Raw genomic sequence first — 18,139 nt, 5'->3', positions numbered from 1 at the left:
TTGGATGACTCCGCTTTCTGGTTTGGTGGAGTCAGAGTATTTCTAAAAGGCCAAGTTAAGTTTGGGACACACTGCTTTGAGGTTCCTGCAGAATTTCTAGGCAGAGGCAGTCCATAGGCAGTCTGATAAACAGATCTAGGGATCAGGAGAGAAATCCATAGTGGGGGTAATATATCTGGGAGTCATGAACATGTAGGTGATACTTGAAGCCAAAGGCATGCATAAAATTGCTGAGAAAGAAATGTGAACTAGTAAGAAGAGATTCCTCATATTTTTCCAAACTCATATTTCAGGTCTAGGACAAGGAAGAAGAACTCAAGAAGCTGCCAAAGAAGTAGGAGGTAAATCAAGAAAATACTCTCATGGAATCCATGAAAGAACAGATTTTCAGGAAGACAGGCAGTATAAAATTAATGACTCAGAAACAACAAGTAAAGAAAAAGACAGAACTATTCATTAGATTTGTCACTTGGGAAATCACTGGTGTCCACAGCAAAATGTGTTTCATGAAACCAGAAACCAAATTCCAGGGGACTAAAAAAGTGAATGGAAGGTGAGAGAATGGGATTGGTTAAAGACTCCTTTTTTCAAGAAGCTTAGCTGTGAAGGGAAGAAGAGACATAGGGCAGTAGCTAGCAAGTGAGAATCTAGAGGTGAAGAGAAGGTTTTTAAAGACAAAAGAGATTGTAGATATTTTGAAAAGACCCAGTGGCAAGATGTTGAAGATCTACAAGAATGAGGAAAGTTTTGGAAGTGCCAGAGGAGACAACAGGATAAAAGTGGACACAGGTACATCTAGGTTTGAGGTAGAAGGGCAGGAGCTTGGGGTGCTAGAAGCTGCTATTTTCTTTATGAAATGGGAAAAGAAGTCATCTTCTAGGAGAGACAGAGACAGAAGTGAGGTTGAAGCCTAGAGGAGGGTGGTGCAGGTTGGTTTAACATAACAGAAAAGTGACATGTAGCTTACTAACGTCACTTTGTAAGATTTCCAAGCAATTTACAGGGAGCAGTTGAGATTTGGTTTTCTGCTCAGATGTCAAGATATAGAAAATGAAGAGGCAGATGCTGGGTTAGTCCACAGGTTCTCAATCTGGTTGCTCATTACAATCACTTGGGGATCATTAAGATATCTATATCCAGACCCCATCCTAAACCAGTGAAATCAGGTATCAGTATGTTTCTAAGCATCCCAGGTCATTCTCATGTGCAGCCAGGAACAAGATCCACTAGAATGATCTATGGTTTGGGTTTTGCTAAACCACTATAATATAGGGTTAAATAGGAAAAAAAATATATTGACACATGAGAATTGCTGGAAAAGATGCACTATGGAATTTAGGAGGGAGAGGGAAAAGAGGGAAGCCAGGAGGGACTAACATCCACGAAGACCACTGTAGAATCAACAGATGAGAGATTTAGATGAAATAAAAGAGAAAGTATAATTAGCATGAGGGAGCTGGATATATAAGCTCTCTCAATTAAAATACTAGAGTTTAAGATTTCAGAGGTAGAACAGTTTGGGGACAAAATCCAGGAGCTGGCAATGGGGACAGGTTATCAAAGTGCAGTAGAGATGAAAGTGAGTGGAGATAACTGATATCAAGGAAACTTCAAATAAAAGTCACACCCTATTCCTTTCCCTACCCAGAACCCTCCCCTCCAGTGGTTCACTGTCTCATTCAAAGTAAGAGCCAGTGTCCTTACAATTTCCTGTAAGGCCTGATAAGACCCATCTCCATGTTACCTCCTTGACCTCACCTTCTAACTCAGCTTAAGCTAGACTTGCCTCCTCACAGCCAGGTACACTCCTGTCCCAGGACATTTGCACTTGCTGTTCTCTATGTTTATAATGCTCTCCCTCAAGATATTTGCAAGGGTAGCTCAGTGAAGGCTATTCTTGTTGAAATTTATTCCCTTATATTTAAAATTGATCCCTCTCTCCCAGCATTCCCTCATCCTCTGCTTAAATTTTTCCACAATGCTTATTAACATTTATTTGCCTACTGATTGGTTGATTATCCCCCTCACTGGCACCTTCCTGATAATGAGCTTCTGGAGGGCAGGGATTTTGTCCATATGTTCACTGTTCCATACCTAGTACTTACTTACAACAGTGCCTGGTACATAGGCATTCCATAAATATTTGTCAAAGTGATGAAGGAACCATAAGTCCAGAATGTTGGATAGATTGCCAACAAGGGCACTAAAGTCCTCCAGGAGAAAAGCAGGACTTAGGTTGGAGAGGAAACTGATAAACCAAGTATTAAACATTTAGGAAAAGTGTGGGTACATGAGGAAGACAAGAGTTGACAAAAGAAAAGAGTGAGCAGTATAGATGCCATGACACTTACAGGGAGCATTGATGTCATTTTATTTTCTTTTATTTTAAAATCAATTTATTTTTTAAAAAAAACAATGAATTTAGTTTGCATTTAATTTTGTTATCTGTTGGCTTTTTTCGCTTCTTTTTCAGGATGAACTTAAAAGGCCTAAAAATAGTTCTGGGGAAATAGGAGAGTGTGGCTATCACCCCTCAGCTCTGTAGAATGTGCAACCCAGGAGAATGAGCGGCTTACACTTGATAAGCTGCAAGAGAACTGATGTGTCAATTAAGGCAAGCAGGTACCAGTGGTGTGAAAACCTGACAGCACACTAGTATCACCTGGAGTAGCTCTAAAAAGTACGGAAACCCAGGTCCCTCTTCAGGCCAAATGAATCAGATTCTCTAGGGATGGGGTCCAGGCTTCAGTACCCGTTAAAAAACTCCCCAGGTGATGCTAACATGTAGCCAGCACTGTGATGTACACGAGGGTGAAGGACCAGAGGAGTTTGTTGATATGCAACATAGATCTCAAAGGATACAGACGGAAAGCCCGAGAAAGAGGATAGAGTGTAAAGAGAAAGCAGAAACATGTATGAGGATGAAAATCCCTAGGAGAGGAAAGGAACTTACATTTGGGGTAGTGGCAGTGGATTGCAGAAATGGAGAGGCATTATGGGGAATTAAGATGTCTCGAAACTCTGAATAGACCCTTTTGGGAGGAAATCATTGGAGTGAAGTTGTTCCAGAGTTAAAACTAACTGCCTAAACAACTCAGGCTTTTAGGCTACTTCTAGTCTTCTGCTCTGCCAATCCTGACCTAGCCCACACATTCCCGTGAGACCATTCTTCTGTGACTCCATAGCCTGTACTGCACTGCTGAAGGGTATTCTGCAGAGCAAACGTATGTGTGCCTTATGTATCTTGCTCATATGGCAGGAGTTATTCAAAAGGTGATTAATGATTGAATGAAGTTCAAAGTCTATATCAAATAATATATATCATTGAGTGCGTCACATTTGTTTTTTTAAAAAAGCATAATCCAGAGTAATGTCCCATGCCTTGGCAAGAAGAGTAAGGTTGAAAGAGAAAGGAACCTCTTCCCTTTGTTAATCAATCATACAGCATTTAATACATCATATCTTGGGTGCCTTGGGGAATATAGAGATGAGTAAGACACAGCTACTGTCCTCAAGGGGCTTAAAACCTACCTAGGGAGAGAACAAATGCATTCATGTTAACTACCATCAAAACAAGGTAATAGAGCTTATATGCTAAATGAGCATTTTAGACTGAATATGGCACAGGATGAGAGCTCAACTCAATCTGCTTCAGGATACTTCCCCATGTCCATAAATGGACACCTTTCATCACGTTATTCAAGCTAGAAACATGGAAGTCTTCCTAGATTCCTCTCTCCTCTTAGTCCTTATATCCAGTCTAGTAGCAAGCTCTTTTGAAACACATGCTGCATTTGCCCTCCTCTTCATGGCCACTGTCACCTCTAGTCCAGGCCACCACCATCTCTTTTCCTGGACTACTGTCATGGCCTCCTAGCTTGCCCCTCTTTCTCTTCTCGCCACTCTTAAGTTCCATTTTATATAGCGGCCAGAATGATATTGTAAAACTATGAATTACATTACCCTGATTCTACCCTTACTTCACTGATTCTACTTCATTGGCTTCCATCTGCTCTTGGCATAAAAAGGGAACTCATTACCATGGCCTTCAAGGTTCTGCATGGTCTCCGACCTCATTGAGCATCACTTTCTCCCGGTTCACTGTCTCTTTTAGTCACTTGAATATGGAAAGTACCCACCTCAGGGTGTCTGTACAATTTGCTCTCTCTGCATGAAACACTCTTTGTTAATATTTATTCACGTTTCAGGCCTCAGCTTAGGTGTCATTTCCCCTAGAAGGGCCTTTCTTCATGCTCCTCAACCATCTCAATGAAGTCTCCCCTGCTATTGTCTCTCCTACCCTATACTTTTCCTTCACAGCACTACTATAATTTACAATTATATGTGTCTGAGTTTATTTGTTTAATGTTTGTCTCCTCCATTAGACCATAAGCTTCATGAGGGTAGGTTTTATGTCTGTTTCGCTTATAATAATATTCCGAATGTCTAGCACATTACCTAGTATATAGTAGGTAATCAACATGTGTCCTTGGGATGAAAGGATGAATGACTAAAGGAATGAAAGAAAGAAGTGACATGGTCTGAGAAGGATTTTTAGAGAAGACCAAGTAGGAAAACACCATGAGCAAGGCATGAAAATTTTTGTGCCTCTACCATAGCCTGATCCCAGATATCCCTAAAACAACCCAGGGTAAGAAAGACTCACCACTCCTTCTCCTATCACCAGCCATGGCCAGGGTCCCTGCAAGATTCAAAATGAGCAATGTCTACTGTACCCAAGCACCTAGTGAGGAAGGACTTGTAAAAGTACATCCAAAGTCCTCTTGGGTCATGCAACCCTTCTGAATATTTCATAAGTATCAGGGTTCTTATCCAGTCCTTTACTACCAGAGGCCTACAGATATCTCTATTAGTAGTAATAATGCCTACCTCATACAGTTATCATGAGGATTAAATGAGAAAAAAATATATAAGGCAGCTAGCACAGTGCCTAGCACATGGTAAGCACTCAATATATGTTAGCTGGTATTATAATTGCTCCTCTGTAAAATGGGGATAATAGTGCCTGCCTCATAGGGTTTTTGTGACTATTAAATGAGATAATACATGCAAATGCTAGCACAGCAACTAGGACATAATAAGTACACAATAACTGTTAGCTATAATTTATTGTTATTCATAGAAGTAAAAGTAGCAGGAACAATAATATGATATAGTTCAGGCAAGAAATCATGAAGGTCTGAACCAAGGCAGAAACATTGGGGAATCCAATGAGGTCAAAATTTCTCTGAAATGGTCACTTTGGGGCCCCAGAGATGTGGATTAATGTATAGAGAAAGGCCCAGAGATTAGTACACAGACAGTGGTGGGTAGGGCAGGTTGCTTCATCACCAGGCTGAGCTAGGCGATGCCCTGGGAGGAGGCCCTCCACAAAGAAGGTCCTGTCACCAGGGCTTAATTCCCAGCTCTATTGATCAGGTAGGAATTGTCACTATGGCAGCATCTGGTTGCCTTACTCAACATATTATGTGGGGAGGAGACTAAGTGCTCTCTGACCAGTTGTCTTGGAGGAATGTCAGAAGGGAATATATGGCTGGTGGAGCCGACAGGGGAGGCGTGGGGAGGGCAATGACAGAACTTTGTGCTTCATGGGACCAGGCTCCAGTGGGAGTCGTAAAGCAGGGTCTGCTTTGTTCCCATTTTGGTCACTGTGTGAAACATTTTCGAGGTCAAGGAATCAGCTGTTCTCCACAAGCAGCCCTTGTGCAGTGCTTTAGCAAGAAGTCCCCTCAGTCTTGGGGCCTCCCCTATGCAAAAAGGCTATCTCCTCTACTTAACCCAAACAAGGGTAAATGAGGATAATAGTACATCACAGGCACCAGAAATATTTTCTGGGGTGGGAGCCAGGCCCATAGGTGGTCCAGATATAGAAAAGCAGGGACCAAGGGATCCACAAGTCCTCTGAGGATGGCAACCGAATGATAATAGCAATAGCTTATTGAGCACGTCTGTGTACCAGGTGGTGTACTGAGAACTTTGCAGGAATTATCTTATATATTCCTCAAGAAACCCAAAAACGTAGCTACTATTATTATCCCCATTACACAAGTGAAGAAACAGAGGTTTAGAGAGGCTAAATGACTGTCCAAAGTGCCTGAGCCAGGATCCAAACCTCTTCATGGAGCTTCATGCATTCAAAATAAAAATAGTTGCCATAAATAAACACTATCTATTGGACAGACATAGATTATCTCTTTGATTCCTCACCACAACTCTGTGAGGTAAGTACTAATATTATTTTTTCCATTTTACAGAGCCAAGGCAGTTAGGTGGTTAAGAAACTTTCCAAGACCACACAGCTAGCAGAAGGCAGAGCAGGGACTTAAACTTAAGCAAGTGATCTTTTAACCTTTACCCTACCCTCTTTTTTGCTCCAAAACAGCTCTTTTGCCAGGGAAAACATGAAGACATTCACAGTCATATATCTTGGACCACTTTTCTTTCAAAGTAGTCTGTTTTCAGTGATCTGATTGCTCCAAGTTTTCCACAGAGAAGGGAGAATTAGAATCATTGCAGATGGAAGAACTGAGGCCTAAAGAGGCAAAGTGACTTATCTGGCATTAGACATGGAGTAAGCAATTGAGGCCTTACAAGACCGTAGTTTCTTGGTTTCTCCCTTTCTTTCCTGTTTTATCAAGAGACAGGGTCTCACTCTTTTGCCCAGGCTGGAGGGTAGTGGCACAATCACAGCTCACTGCAGCCTCAAACTCGTGGGCTTAAGTGATCCTCCCACCTCAGCCTCCCTAGTAGCTGAGGTGCACTACAGGTGCACACCCCCATGCCTGGCTCATCTTTGGTTTCTTGATGCCTATTGACTCTCATTACCGGAAACGGCAATAAAGAGGACAGATATTGCAGGAAATGGGTGCAAGTCCTCCCCTGAGGGCTCCAATTGGAAGGGAATTTTTAGAGAAATTATAGCCAGTAGAAGATCTTTCTAGGAAAGAGCTGCGGGAAAGAAAACAAATGGTCTGTTTTTGTGCAGTGATGTTAAATTGCTCAATGCCCTATACTACAGTCAAAGTGAAAAGTTCGGCTACTTCAAAAAGGGCATTAGGTTAGGGTTTAAGGATGGATTTGGTCCCATACGTATAGTCTGGAAATTGCAGTGCATGCTTTGGTTATGTTCATGAGTTTGAATCGTATCAGTCGTAGATCAATGAGTCTGTATTGCTGGATGCCAAATATCCTTTGCTGCATGCTGCAAGTTTGATAATGAGAATCAGACAGGAAGAACTTGAGTGAGCTGGAAACCCAATAATCCCAGCCAATGACACTGTTATTCATGTTATTCTGGGTCCTCTCCCTGGTTGTCTTCCCCCACCCAGGCTCCCTTTAGCTGAAAACATCCAGGAAGTCACTCCCTGCCTCCCAGAGGTCCTCTATACCCTTGGCACTAGTCTCCTGCTGGGAGTAGGAGGAGGAAAACAAAAAGTATGTTCCACATTCCCATGATTTGTGACACAAACAATAGTCATGGGGATATCAGGAATTTATCTCTCAATGATAATATTTAGAGATTTACTCAGTTAACAATTCACAAGAATCAAGACTAATCTCTGAGCCCCACCCCTACAATGACACACAATAATTCTGGCAACATTTTGCTGCCATTAAAATGAACCTCCCCTTTCTTTCCTGGTCTTTATTGTTGCTTCAAGGCTCAGACTGGTCACACCCAAGAAGATCTGTTGCTTCATACATTCCCCTTTGGTGTAACACAGTCTTATTACCACAGGAAGCCCTTAATAGTAGAACACTCTGTTTAACCATTCAGACCCCAAGACCAGACAGAGATTCACTTTGCTGCTCACCATCTGAGTGAACTTGTGCAAATCACTTAGCTGCTCTGAGCCTTAGTTCCCTCCTCTGTAAAATGGAATGCTAACAGTATTAACCTAACAGAGTTGCAGAGAAAATTAAATGAGACAACACATGCAAAGAGCAGTGCAATACCTGACACACAACAAACAGTTAATAAATGGGAGCTATATATAAAAAGAAACACTTGCTGTCTCTGAAAGTTTGCCTTAGAGAAGCATTTCCCTAGCTCCAACTACTCCCATAATGAAGTGAAGGGCTGAAAGTTGGCGCAGAAGGAAATAGTGGGGCAAATTGGTGTACACTAGTGCTGACTCCTTTCTTTTTGGCATTTAGAAGATAGGATGGTATTGAGAGAGTGCCTATGGCTGAAGGAAATAAGATCAGTGAGATCAAGGGGAAGTGGGAAAAACCCACTGCAACACTGTGAATTTAATGAAGGGAAGAAGAACAAAAGTTGAAAAAGTCAAAGAGGGAATAGAAATTTGAAATAGGATTCAAAGGAAAGCTTGGGCCAAAACAGTCTAGGAGTTATGGAAATCACTGTGCCCTCTCTCAGTAATGCTTCTTCTCAAGGTAGTGTGCCAAAGGGCTTGAAATATACTCATTATTAAATGACTGGTCAGTTTGTTCGTCCAAACTCGCTCTTCTTAAGAAGAACACTGTGCTCTCCATTCACCTCTGCAGAAACCAGTCCCAGGGAGCTAGGCCAAAAGCCAGCCTCCTCAAGTGCAGTTTCATATCATAGATTTCTAAGCCAGAGCTCCTAGGTGACCTGGACTTCCCCACTTTTGAAAATGCTTTCATTCCCTCAAGCCAGAAAACACCAGGAGATCTTGCCTCCTGAAAGTTACCTCTGGAGGGTGTTCCAGTCTTCTCCCAAATCACCTAAGAAGCTAGTTAACAAATAGGTTTCCTGGGTCTACCCTTGGAGTTCAGATTCAACTGGTTGAGGTGGGGCCTTCAAAATATATTTTTAAAATGTCCCCAAGTGATTCTGTCACAAAGCAAACATTGACTTTGGAGAGGAGAATGCCTTGTTTAAGTTGAAGGAATTACAATATGGATCATCAATTCCTAACGATGCCCTCATTTTATATGTCAGGAATCTGAGGCTCAGAGGCATTTAAGCTCTAGTTCAGGGTCACACAACTAATTAATAACAAAACCAGAACTCGAACCCTGGACTTCTGCCTCCCAATTTAATGTAAGCTCCATTTACTGACTCTCTTTGCCTCTTTGTTAATGAGGTTTTTATTTTTGGATTAAGTATGGAGTCAGACATCCCCTTCCAGTTCTAATCAGAGTTAAAAAAACAATGTTACCTTTGCAGAATAGTTCATTAGAAAAGAAAAACATGACAATTTCCAATTCTACTTAAAGCACCAAGCATAGTTTTAAAAAGAAAGATGACCTTTCCACTTGTAACCATCAAAAAGTATAAATGTATCATATGATTTATGCATAGAATCCATATCTGTGGCTATGATGTTTCAATTTTAAATTATTTGGCAATTAAAAAGAGAAACACTAGTTTTAAAACAGGACATTCATTAGCATAAAAACTAAAACCACTTTTTTCAAGGCAGCAAAATTTAATAATTATATTATCTGGCCATCATTTCCTCTGTGAACTATGCTTACTCTAGTCCAAATCTTTAAAAAGGAGAAAAAAAGACAAATATTAGATACAATCTAAAGTCATTTGCCAAATACCAAGATTTTGAGGTAAGTGGAAAACCACAACTCATAATTGTCAATAGTTCAAGTAATCCAAATTATTCCTTTGGGGACAATAATCCACCCATCTTCTGACAGCTCAAAATCGTCCCTGGGGTGGGCTGTGTCAGTACCACACTAGATAAAGTGAATGATGGGTAAGTACAAAGGGCATTATTAAACATATCAAATCAGGAAGCTTCACTTTAAAGGCACATACATATATCCCTAGAGGAGAGAAGTTGCCAAATCTTTAGTTAGCAAGTATTAGGAGGTATGCCAGGATCCTTTTCCAGCAGTGTCCAACTCTTGGAGCATTTCTCCTTTCCAGATGTGTTCTCCATCTGTAAAATGGGTAAGCAACAACTATCATCACCACTTTTTCATGTTTCCCCATTGCCCTGCCACCTCCAAAGGATTTTAGGTTGCTACTGTGCTCTTCAGACAAAAGATATTCGTAAGCTACATAAACTACCACTCAGACTTCCATCTTCTAATCCACAGACCCTACCTTTGGCCTAAAGCACACACCAAAATACCCTTGACCATATCTGGATACTGGCAGAAAACAGGCACAAGAAGATGAAGCAAGCCCAGGCAGAGTAAGGGAAAAAGCTACACCTGTACTTGTTTGGCACTATACCCTTTGCAGAGTGTGACATCACTGTTTATTTCTGTTAGAATAACTTCTCATGGGAGGACCTCAAACTTGTCCTCTTTGCAGGAAGCCAAGTTAAATAGAAACTGATTCCTACTCACCACTCAGCCTTCAGAAAGTTATGGAACCAATCTAGCTGACCTCAGAGATCAGTGAAGATGCAGCAGTAGATTTTTTCCAAGTGTCTTAAGATGAGATAGAGCTCTAAAGTTAGTTCATCATTGCCTGCTGTTGCAGATGCTGCCAGCAGAGATGACCCTAAATGGTCATTCATTTCACAGTGAATTTAGAGTGATTTAACGTTGGAAAACGCTTTCGACACAGTTCTAGTTGGAAATGAATTAAAGAGCATGTTTACTTAAATAATTGAAGGTGAAACATGTATTACAGGTGTTCCACGTGCAGTTAGGGATTTCTGCTCCCAGCCTTTCTCAGTCTTGCCTTTCCTCCCAGTCAAATATGAATTTCAGCCTAGCATTTGATTTAAGAGCCAAAACCTGAATTATCAGAAGACGTCAGGAGGAGGGGGAAAATGTACTTGTATACACTGTAGTTGGAGTGTAACTTGCTAGAAATATTTTAGAAAGCAATTTGGCAATATCGAGAAAAATATTAACTGAACAAATCTAATCCTAGGAATTTATCTTAAGGAAATAATGAGCCAACTGTATATGACATAGTGCAAGGATATCTAATTGTGGCATTGTTGGCTTATAAAGGAATAGATTGAAAATTGTGATTTTTACAAAAATCATAAACATTTCTGTACAGTGAAAGACATCCAAATCAAAGTTAAAAGACAAACGATAAACTGCTTAATATATTTGCAACATAGAGAAGAGTTAAATGGTTACTATCCAAAATATTTAGAGATCCTCATTATCAGAAGCAGAAAGAACAACTCAAAAGAAGGAGAACCCAGTTATCAGAAGCAGAAAGAACAACTCAAAAGAAAAACAGGCAAGGGATATGAAATGGCAACACAGAAGAAATACAGATGGCCAAAAAAACACATGAAAAGATGTTCAACCTCACTAGTACTCAATGAAATGCAAAGAGAAAGGAGATTTTTTTTCAGCCTTCACATTGTCTAAGATTAAAAAGATCAATAATATCTGAAATTGATGAGGAAGAGTGTGGAGAAATGGCCACTGTTGATGGGAAGGTAAATTGTGATAGCCTTTCTGAGAGGCAGTTTGGCAGGCTCTATTAAAATCAAAGATGTGCAAATCAAACTCCAAACCAGCAACTTTACTACTTTAAATTTATATGACAAAATTGCTCACAGTGGTATGCAGAGTTGTATGTACAAGAAGGTACATTGCACCAATATTTAATAATGTAAAAATAATCAGAAATAATGCAAAAATTCATCAACAAAGGTTGGATTAAAGAGATTATATTACAATTATATAATAGAATACTATGCAGTTATTTATAAGAATAAAATACACAGGGAGCGGAACATCACACACTGGAGCCTATCACGGGTTGGGGGACAAGGAGAGGGAGAGCATTAGGACAAATCCCTAATGCATGCGGGGCTTAAAACCTAGATGATGGGTTGATAGGTGCAGCAAACCGCCATGGCACATGTATACCTATGTAACAAACCTGCACATTCTGCACATGTATCCCAGAACTTAAAGTAAAATTTAAAAACAAGAATGAAATAACTAGATGTCTACTGGCAATAAAAGATCTTCAGACATATAGTTCAGTAAAAAGCATTCTGTAGAACAGCACATGGTCACATCTTTGATTATTTTATGTACATGAATGTATTTATGTGAATATTCATAAAAACATGCACAATGTGATACATACCAACCTGTGAACATGGTGGGGGATCAGTGTTGGAGAGACAAGGAAGGAACATTCTACATCATATCTCTATTTTTATAAGCAAGAATGAGCATGTGTTCTTTGATAATAAAAATGCTTTTGTAAACAAGAAGAGAGCCATGCTGTGCCACTCCCCCACAATGTCCAGCCCCCACTCCCAGCCTTTAAATGTGTCCTTTTCAAGGAGACAGTGTTCCAGAATCTAAGACAACTTCTAATACCCAAAGCCCTGAGCTTTTGGTATTTAGGTGTTTGACTAGGGTAAGAAATCTGGAGAGAAGTGAAAGAGTTGTCTCATTCTTTGGGAAGAATTTTTATTTCATTTAAATATGGCATGATTGCCATCCTTTCTGGACTGACCCCCTCCCCAGTCCTCCCAAATTTCCCACCTGCCTAGCTTCCCCACTTCACTTTCTTTCATAAGGTTGAAGGAAGGGGACATGGTTAGCTCACTTCAATTCCTTTTCTATTTTTATCTCGAATTCAGGATCCAATTCCATTCTTTTATCCATAAGAAATTCCACTCTACTCCCTGTCCCCTGTCTATTTGGCACAAAGCTCATCCCAGCATTTCCATTTCCCTCCGAGTTAAGATTGACAATTCCACCTCTGGGAATCTTTCATATTTAGGGAGCTTCTACCAGTCACCCTAGGCTGTGTACCAATACCAACAGCAAGCAGAGCAAGAGCTCTCGACCTACAATGCTTTGAAATTACATGCACATGTCCATGGATGAGAGGCCTTCTCTGGGGAGTGCATCAGTAGCTTTCATGACTTTCAAGGGGATCCTTGGCACACAGAAAATGGTTATTAATCAATCACCAAAGTAAAAGGACTAGGATGATCAAATCATCCACCATGAATCTCAGGTAGAATATCTAGTCCTCAGGTTACCAACTGGGTGCTTGGCTTGGTGAATCAGACAACTATACACTCAAGAGGAATGAGGAGGGAGAGAGAGAAGCATGGTCTTTTAGGTCTCCACTAGAAACCTATCCCTCTGCTAAAACTGCAATGTGAGAGCCCACACTGCTCAGAACTGGACATGACCTCCAAGTCCCACCAAATGAGCCAATCCTCACTCCCCTGAACTACACAAGAAGGCAGTTAAGTCAAAGAGAAGAACACTGGGAGGCAGCAGATCTGAGTTTCAACTCTTAGAATGACTTCTGTTCTGTCATGTGGTAGCTGTGTGACCTTGGACAACTCACTTCACTTCTTCCATCCTCATTTTCATCATCCAAACATAAGGTTTACAACAGAGAAACTTCCATAGGCATTTGTAGCTCTACCATTCTATGAATGTCCCCCACTGAACAAGCATCTCCACTATGTACTCCAGAACAGCGAATAACTTCACTCTGGCTTTACAGCATCACACAGTCTTAAAGTCACACAGTTATCTCTTGTGGCTAACAGAAATCCTTCCTATTACAACTGAAGCTTGCTGCTTTCATGCAGAGAAGAGCTAATCTGAGTATAGAGTACTCTAGAACCAGCAACCCGAATGTCTTGACGTTCATTTTGGGGTAGAGACTGAATGCCTTGTGCAACAGTCTCTACCCCAAACCCAGTTTGCAATGATTATCAGCCATTAAGTCTCAAGAACTCCATTCTCCTTTCAAGGCAGTTTGTAAAGAAAAAAAGGTTCTGGGAATTAATAGCAGTCAAGGGATCCAAGAAGGGTCAATAGTCACATGAATGCTATTTCCTTTATCTTTAAATTTCCTTAAAGATGGCCTCAGCTTCCCATTGACAAAATGGACCCCTGAAACTGTTGTTCAAGAAGCGTCTCCTGTAAACAGGACTCCAGCCCAGGTTGGGTGTTGGGGCTACTGGAGAGAAATCCTGCACCAGCTAGCTTCCAACATGGCCCTTTACAAATGCTTCTGAAAGACAATTAGTCTGAAGGATAAAAGCAACTTTCCAACTAAACTTAATTCCTAACTCCAGGGTTCTCTAGTCAGCAGTGTATGTTCAGATTGATGGACTTTTTCTGAAGGCTGTACTGATGATACCTCTGGACCAGGATATTAAAGGCCATGCTGAAATTTTCAGAATATGAAAGGAAATAAACCCAGAGAACTGAGTCAGCCAAGGTTGAATGAGGATAGGTCTCTGCAGTCAAAGCAGAGCAGAGAAATGAGGCAGTCTGCCCAATAATTCAGCAGAAAGACAGAATTTGGGCCTGCATTATCAGGATAATTGCCTTAATTCTTCACTTCACTTTAATAATAACCTTGAGTTTACATACAGCCTTTCTTCTAAGCAGCTCAAAATACTTACAGAGATATTATCTTAGTTGTCATCACACCATCACAGTCAGTGAGAGTGATGATTATTATCAACCTCATTTTAAAGAGGGGGGAAGGAAGGAAAGCCTGGAGGGGTAAAGCGAGTCATCCAAGCTTACCCAGCAAGATGCCGACAGCCTCTGAACTCAGAACTCAGCAGAGAATGCTTTTACCCAAAGAACGTGTCTCTCAACACCAGTAGACCCAAATGCTTGTTGGAACACCATGCTCTATGGGTAATTCCATCTGAGAAATGCTGCATATTTTATACTCCTGGAGAGTCACAATATTCATTAGCCTAGTAAAGACTTTTAGAAGCCCTGCAGGAAAGAAACCTGTTTATGTTTAAGTAAGAATTTCCAAAACTTAACTTGACCACAAAACCCTGTGTGTTTGTGTGTGTGTGTGGATGGGGAGAGGTGTGCCCTACTAACATTCTATGGAACTAGTCTTCTTTAGAACCTACATCAAAAAACACTGTCTAGTAACTAGACAGATCTGAACATCAACACAGCTGACAGATCGATTCCATTCCAGCCCAAGCTTTGGAGAATGTATCTTAGAGATACTGCCTGATACCTTCTGGTATTGACAGCCAGTGAACAAAGGACCTTTATGTGCCCAAAGTACCCTAGGCCATCAACTCCTCCACAGCAAGGTATTGTCCAGACGAGGAAAGAAGTCATTCAAGCTCATCTACTTCTGTCATTCCTTTCAAATAGAACCCAGGGCTATTTTTGGTCTTCATTTAAGGGGAGAGGTGCTCCAGATGGGTGCTGATCCATGTTCTCAGAACCCACACTCTTACCTAGCATAATTTTGTGACCACCAGGCATTTCCAGTAGAAATAATCAGTCTCTTAGTCTCACTCCCAGGGCCATTTATCAGCCTATGAATGCAATCAGCACCAACACAACAAAACAGGAGACTCAGAATGTGCCCCTGTTCTGGCTTAATTGCACGAGCATTAGAGCAGTTATTATATATCCATTTTAAAACTAACATACAGCACAGAAATCTTGTACCATTGTTAATTACCAGTGAAACTACTAAAAGTACCTAAAATGTAAAAATTCCTCAAGATCCCGTTCAGGTTAGTTTCTATTTTATATACAGTTTGAATGATAAAAGATCACAGCCAATGGATTTAATATTCATTACTAGCATTTTCATATTTTCTTTTAGTATTTATTAAACATCCACAGAATGAGAGGAAATTCCTGCGTTGAAGTTGGTAAATTTTTGTGCAAAAAGTAAATGTAATGCAGGTATGCCTGTCTTTATCCATTCATGGACTATTGGAAAAATTCCGTTAGTGGATTTTTGGTTAAAAGAAATTCACTGTAAAGGTCAGAGAGGCAGTGTTAATTAACATAATCTGATTATGAATCCTTTTGTAAAGCAGCAAATTCTGCAATGTAAATATTGTCCATTTAGTTCATTTGCCTTGGAATCTCACATTTACATATATCAGATTTGCTTAAAGCAAAACACACTAATATTAATAAATGAGCCAGATGTTTCTTAATATAGAGATGTGTTGTGGTCTTTATCAATCTGCAATACTGGCTTTTTTTTTTGGCCACCAGTCATCACTCCAAACCAGAAAGACCCATTCTGAGTTTGTTGAGAATTTGGCAGTCACACTTCCAAGGACTCCCTGCAGTCTCACTTAACTATGACCTCTCTACCTTCATACATGCCATTCTTTCAACTTAGGATACCATTTTCCACTTAGTAACCTGGTGAATTAATTCTTCAAGACTCAACTCAAATGTCACCTCGCCCATGAAGCCTTTCTTGATCATAACCCCCATCCCCAATCAAGCATACCTCCCTTGGGCTCCCACAATACCCTGCCTGCCCCTTGTCATACTTTACTCTAATTGTCTGTTTACACGCTCTATCTTGCCTACCAGATTGTGCACTCCCTGTGAGCTGAGATGATGTTTTATTCATTTATATACTTTCAATACTTAACATTAATAACACATAGCAGGTATGCAAAAAATGTCTGCTGTTTGATTAATCACTACCTTTAACTGTATATTTTTGGACCCTGAAAAACAATGCTTTATTAAAACCACAAATAAAAATGTCAAAGAGAAGGTTTAGCAGTTTTGTTCATTTTTATTGACCTCTTCTTTCTTTGATTAAAAAGTGGCCATACCAGTTCATACCTTATCATTCAAGAAAGAAAAAAAAAACCTCTATATCAAATTCATGACTAACACATAGGTGCATTTAGTTTGTTCTTTTTAGTTCAAACATAGAACTACATCCTAGCACACCACTAACTTCACTGTAGTAAGTAAGACCTGAAGACATTAGGATGCGCTAATTAAAATGGGTGTGGGAAGGCACTGCAGGGATCACTGTAAGAGCTTTGGATCCTCATTGGCTGAGAGAGGAAACCCTGCTAAGAAAGTTGGGCATCTTTGGGAGAACAATAACGCTATCTGGTAGGGCTTGGTCAACCTGGCTCGAAATTCCGCATCCAGAAAGTCCTAAGCAACAGTCCCAGCTGGGGGGATTTCCATCACTTTGAAAACAATCATTATCCTTCCAATGTGGGCAGAACAGGTTGGACCTGATCCACCTGCGTGTTGCTGCAGTCTGGCTTGGCATGGAATGAGACCCAAGGACATGTAATGCCAAGAGTAGCCCAGCCCCATGGCGCAGACACACACACACGCACACACACACACACACACACCACTCCAACTCGCACTCACTGAATTCCACACAAAACCCACACCATCTCCACGACACACACCACTGCATTCCTGTGTGTAGTCACATACAGGGAGTGTCCTCTCACATTCTCTCACTTCCCTAGTCGGCCCGACCCACACCCCACATTGCCGGCGGACCGCAGCCTAGCCTGGAGCTGGAAGCTGAGGAGGACTGGTTTTGTTGTATGTAACAAAGCCCCAGGCACCCAGGTGCCCGGCTGGATCATCTCCATCCATCTCTCCCCGCCCCCATCCCTGAGCTCCCTGAACAAGAGAAAGCTCAGCCTGGGGAAGTGGATGCAGGGAGTGGGGACGCAAAGAAAGAGAGCTTTAGGGGTGGGCGGGGGCAGGAGTCCGGGCAGCTTCAGTGCTCTCTCGCCATGAACCAAAAAGGAAGGCGAACTGGCAAAGGGAACCAGCTGCCTTCCCAGCCTTTCGCCCTGCATCTATTCATACAGCAAGACTGAAAACTGGGAAATAATCTACCATCCCTCCCGCCCCGTGCCCTCCCAGTGGCTGTTGGAGCCACAAGAGCTCCAGCAGCCCGCAACAAAGCGCCCCCCCTGCACAGACCTGTTCCAGCCTCTTCTTGGTCAGAGCGAAGGAGGGCGGCAGCCGAGGGTTCTGCCCTTCGCTGCTGGGCAGGAGGAGCAGGGGATGGGAGGAGGAGCAGGAACTGGGGGAGGAAGGAGGACCAGAGGGGATAGGAGATCACAGCCGCAGCGGTGGTGGCGGCGGCCGTGGTAGGAGGAGGAGGAAGAGAGAAGGAGGAGGCTGCTTCGGTGGCAGCTGCTGAGGATGCTCTGGCGAGAGGCAGGGCTGGGTGCGCGGGGTGCGGGCTCACGTGCGCCCCATGGCCCGGGGATGCGCGCGCGTCTGGGTGTGTGAGAGCATCTGGGTGTATTTTGACTGTGATTATTCCAATTACGACCTAGTCTGGAACTTGTGGTTCCTGCAGCCAGGCGGAAGTGAAACCCTTCCAGTCTCTCAAGCCTGACTGTTTAGGTCGGTGGGATGGGGGCTGGGGGGAGCGAGGGCGGGGAGA

The 18,139-nt window shown here is 41.8% G+C and overlaps 1 protein-coding gene across 10 annotated transcripts in view, besides 1 other annotated feature; it reads right to left on the bottom strand.

Annotated features, from left to right (window-relative positions):
* Window positions 1–17,899, bottom strand: part of PAK3 (p21 (RAC1) activated kinase 3) — a 282,965-nt gene extending 265,066 nt beyond the window's left edge. For all 10 annotated transcript variants that reach the window (XM_047442148.1, XM_047442149.1, NM_001128166.3 and 7 more), the window contains exon 1: window positions 17,668–17,899. The gene's annotated coding sequence lies outside the window, so the exon portion shown is untranslated. The remainder of the gene's footprint in view (window positions 1–17,667) is intronic.
* Window positions 16,690–17,525: an enhancer, noted in NCBI's record as "H3K4me1 hESC enhancer chrX:110187999-110188834 (GRCh37/hg19 assembly coordinates)". NCBI's record gives its function as "activates a minimal SCP1, AML or CMV promoter by ChIP-STARR-seq in primed H9 embryonic stem cells {active_cell/tissue: H9 hESC(primed)}" and the evidence as "EXISTENCE:reporter gene assay evidence [ECO:0000049][PMID:30033119]".

Source organism: Homo sapiens, chromosome X (genome assembly GCF_000001405.40).
Source record: "Homo sapiens chromosome X, GRCh38.p14 Primary Assembly".
In the NCBI taxonomy this organism is placed as follows: Eukaryota; Metazoa; Chordata; class Mammalia; order Primates; family Hominidae; genus Homo; species Homo sapiens.
This window is presented reverse-complemented; position numbering and strand designations above follow the sequence as displayed.